Source organism: Homo sapiens, chromosome 18 (genome assembly GCF_000001405.40).
Source record: "Homo sapiens chromosome 18, GRCh38.p14 Primary Assembly".
In the NCBI taxonomy this organism is placed as follows: Eukaryota; Metazoa; Chordata; class Mammalia; order Primates; family Hominidae; genus Homo; species Homo sapiens.
In genome coordinates, this window is record NC_000018.10 from 52,227,970 (window position 1) to 52,228,908 (window position 939).

The following is a 939-nucleotide window of genomic DNA, read 5'->3' on the forward strand; positions in this document are numbered from 1 at the left end:
AACTCAGAATGTAAGATGTCTATAAACTCAGAATATAAGATGTGTCTAATACTATCTCATTTTAGTTTATCATTTTGTAACTTATTCATATAAAACCTTCTCATATGGTATGCGATGCTCTTTTGAAAATTTGCTAAATTCAAGTTTTAAGAGAATTATCCAGTGCTTATAGAACCTAAATTTTTATGATTGACCCAATATAACTCAGTCCTTTTAAGGATCCAGACTGATACTCTGCTTGGAGATGCATGGAGAGTAAAGGAAGGGATAGAAGGGAGATTTCTCATGAGAAAGCCCAAAAGAGATCACAAGAAATGGAAATGCATTTAGCCCCAGAGACTGAGCATTGGGAGTAAAGAGGTCAACAAGCACAAAGAAAGAGAGGCGTCCTTTTACTTAGCACTTGCTAACACCCGCAGTGTCACATCCTTTATTTGAATTTCCATCTCTTTGGTGACCAAGACCACCCCATTACCTTGTAAGTATCTACTTCAATCCAAGACAGGCAATTTAGAATTTTTGTAATTTTCGAAGGATTAGCAGTGGAGTAGGCCTTGTTTGTTCCCAATTGAATGCTCAATTTTAGGGCCATAATTGGAAAGATTTCCAGTAATTTGTGGCAGTTGCATTTAGTAAAAGGGATGGAGGTGATTTTTGTTACTTTATTCTTTTGTTAGGCCTTTATAACCCACATTTGGCAGGGGTATGAGATAATCTCTGACAGTATGCATCTTGAGTAAGGTTGTTTTTTTTTTTGTTTTTTTTTGTTTTTTTTTTTTATGTGATACAACTGCAGAGGAGGTTGAAAGTAGCCTGTCCTGCTACCTATTTATCCTCTTGGAATGATCAGTCATTACTACTATTTATACTATAAGACAGAGACATTTTCCTGTCAATGATGAGTCAGTAAAAGTTAAATTTTGCTCAAAATGAACCAGT

At 35.4% G+C, this 939-nt stretch overlaps 1 annotated feature.

The window, feature by feature from the left end:
* Positions 162-708: an enhancer, noted in NCBI's record as "OCT4-NANOG hESC enhancer chr18:49754501-49755047 (GRCh37/hg19 assembly coordinates)". NCBI's record gives its function as "activates a minimal SCP1, AML or CMV promoter by ChIP-STARR-seq in naive H9 embryonic stem cells {active_cell/tissue: H9 hESC(naive)}" and the evidence as "EXISTENCE:reporter gene assay evidence [ECO:0000049][PMID:30033119]".